This window comes from Homo sapiens, chromosome 20, assembly GCF_000001405.40.
Source record: "Homo sapiens chromosome 20, GRCh38.p14 Primary Assembly".
Taxonomy (NCBI): domain Eukaryota; kingdom Metazoa; phylum Chordata; class Mammalia; order Primates; family Hominidae; genus Homo; species Homo sapiens.
The window spans coordinates 5,045,239-5,046,988 of NC_000020.11; the positions used below are offsets into that span (position 1 = coordinate 5,045,239).

General features: G+C 40.6%; 1 annotated feature.

Moving 5' to 3' along the window:
- Positions 1-220: a silencer, noted in NCBI's record as "fragment chr20:5025885-5026104 (GRCh37/hg19 assembly coordinates)". NCBI's record gives its function as "represses an EF-1alpha promoter that drives an FKBP-Casp9 reporter gene in an ReSE screen in HepG2 liver carcinoma cells {active_cell/tissue: HepG2}" and the evidence as "EXISTENCE:reporter gene assay evidence [ECO:0000049][PMID:32094911]".

Below are 1,750 nucleotides of genomic sequence, written 5' to 3' on the forward strand. Positions count from 1 at the left end.
CCCATCTCTACTAAAAATACAAAAATTAGCCGGGCATGGTGGCGGACACCTGTAATCCCAGCTACTCAGGAGGCTGAGACAGAGAATTGCTTGAACCCGGGAGGCAGAGGTTACGAGATCACACCACTGTATTCCAGCTTGGGCGACAGAGCAAGACTTCATCTCAAAAAAAAAAAAAAAACTTATTTAAAAGAAGGCGCCAGGCCAGGGTCGGTGGCTCACGCCTGTAAATCCCAGCACTTTGGGAGGCCAAGGTGGGGCAGATCACCTGAGGTCAGGAGTTCGAGACGAGCCTGGCCAACACGGTGAAACCCTGTCTCTACTAAAAATATAAAAATTAGCCAGATGTGGTGGTGCGTGCCTGTAATCCCAGCTACTCAGGAGGCTGAGGCAGGAGGATCACTTGAACCTGGGAGGCGGAGGTCGCAGTGAGCCGAGATCACGCCACTGCACTCCAGCCTGGGTGACACAGCAAGACTCCGTCTCATAAATAAATAAATAAGGCACCATAACAAAATACAGTTTATCCTAAACATGGTTTAATAGTTGGGAAGTTGGTCATATTATGTCTTTTTCCTAAATACATGCAGAGGTAAGAGACCTAACCCTGGGAGTGTGTTTGGAGGAATGAATGCTTTAAAATCAATCCCAGAATCGGTAAGTGTAATGCACAACAGTAACTGAATGACAGACAAAAACCACATGATCATCTTAGTCAATGCACAAAAAGCTTTTGAAAAAGTTCAACACGCTTTCATGATTAAAAAAAAAATGCAGCAAACTAGAAATAGAAGAAAACTACCACAATATGATAGCCATATATGAAAACCCCATAGTTAAATCATACTCAATGATGCAAGACAAACTTTTTCCTCGAAGATCAGGAACAAGACAAGAATGCCCACTTTCACCACTTCCATACCACGTAGTCTTGGAATTTCTAGATAGAGCAATTAGGCAAAAAGGAAGAAAAGGAAAGAAAAGAAAAAAGAAAAGGAAAAGGAGGGAATAGAAAGAAAAGAAGAAAGAAAGAAAATGCATCCAAATTGGAAAGGAAGAAGGAAAATTATTATTCATAGATTATATGATCTTAGAAAACCCTAAAGATTCCACAAAAAACCCTTTGGAACTACTAAACAAATTTGGCAAAGCAGCAGGACACAAAAGCAATACATGAAAATCAGTTGTGTTACTATATACTAACAAAGAACAATCTGAAAATGAAATTAAGAAAATAATTCTATTTATAATAGCATAAAAAGAATACAGCTGGGTGCGGTGTCTCACGCCTGTAATCCCAGCATTTTGGGAGGCTGAGGCAGGCAGATCACATGAGGTTGGGAGTTCGAGGCCAGCCTGACCAACATGGAGAAACCCCTTCTCTACTAAAAATACAGAATTAGCTGGGCATGGTGGTACATGCCTGTAATCCCAGTTACTCGGGAGGCTGAAGCAGGAGAATCGCTTGAACCCCATAGGTGGAGGTTGTGGTAAGCTGAGATCGTGCCATTGCACTCCAGCCTGGGCAACAAGAGCGAAACTCCATCTCTAAAAAAAAAAAAAGGAATAAAATAGTCATTGAAAGACTTGTGCAATGAAAACCACAAAACATTGCTGAAAGCAATTTTAAAAGACATAAATAAATGGAAAGATACCCTATGTTTATGGATTGAAAGACTTCATATTGTTAAGATGTCAAAACTATCCAAAGTGATCTATAGATTTCACGTAGTCTTTATCAAAAATCCCA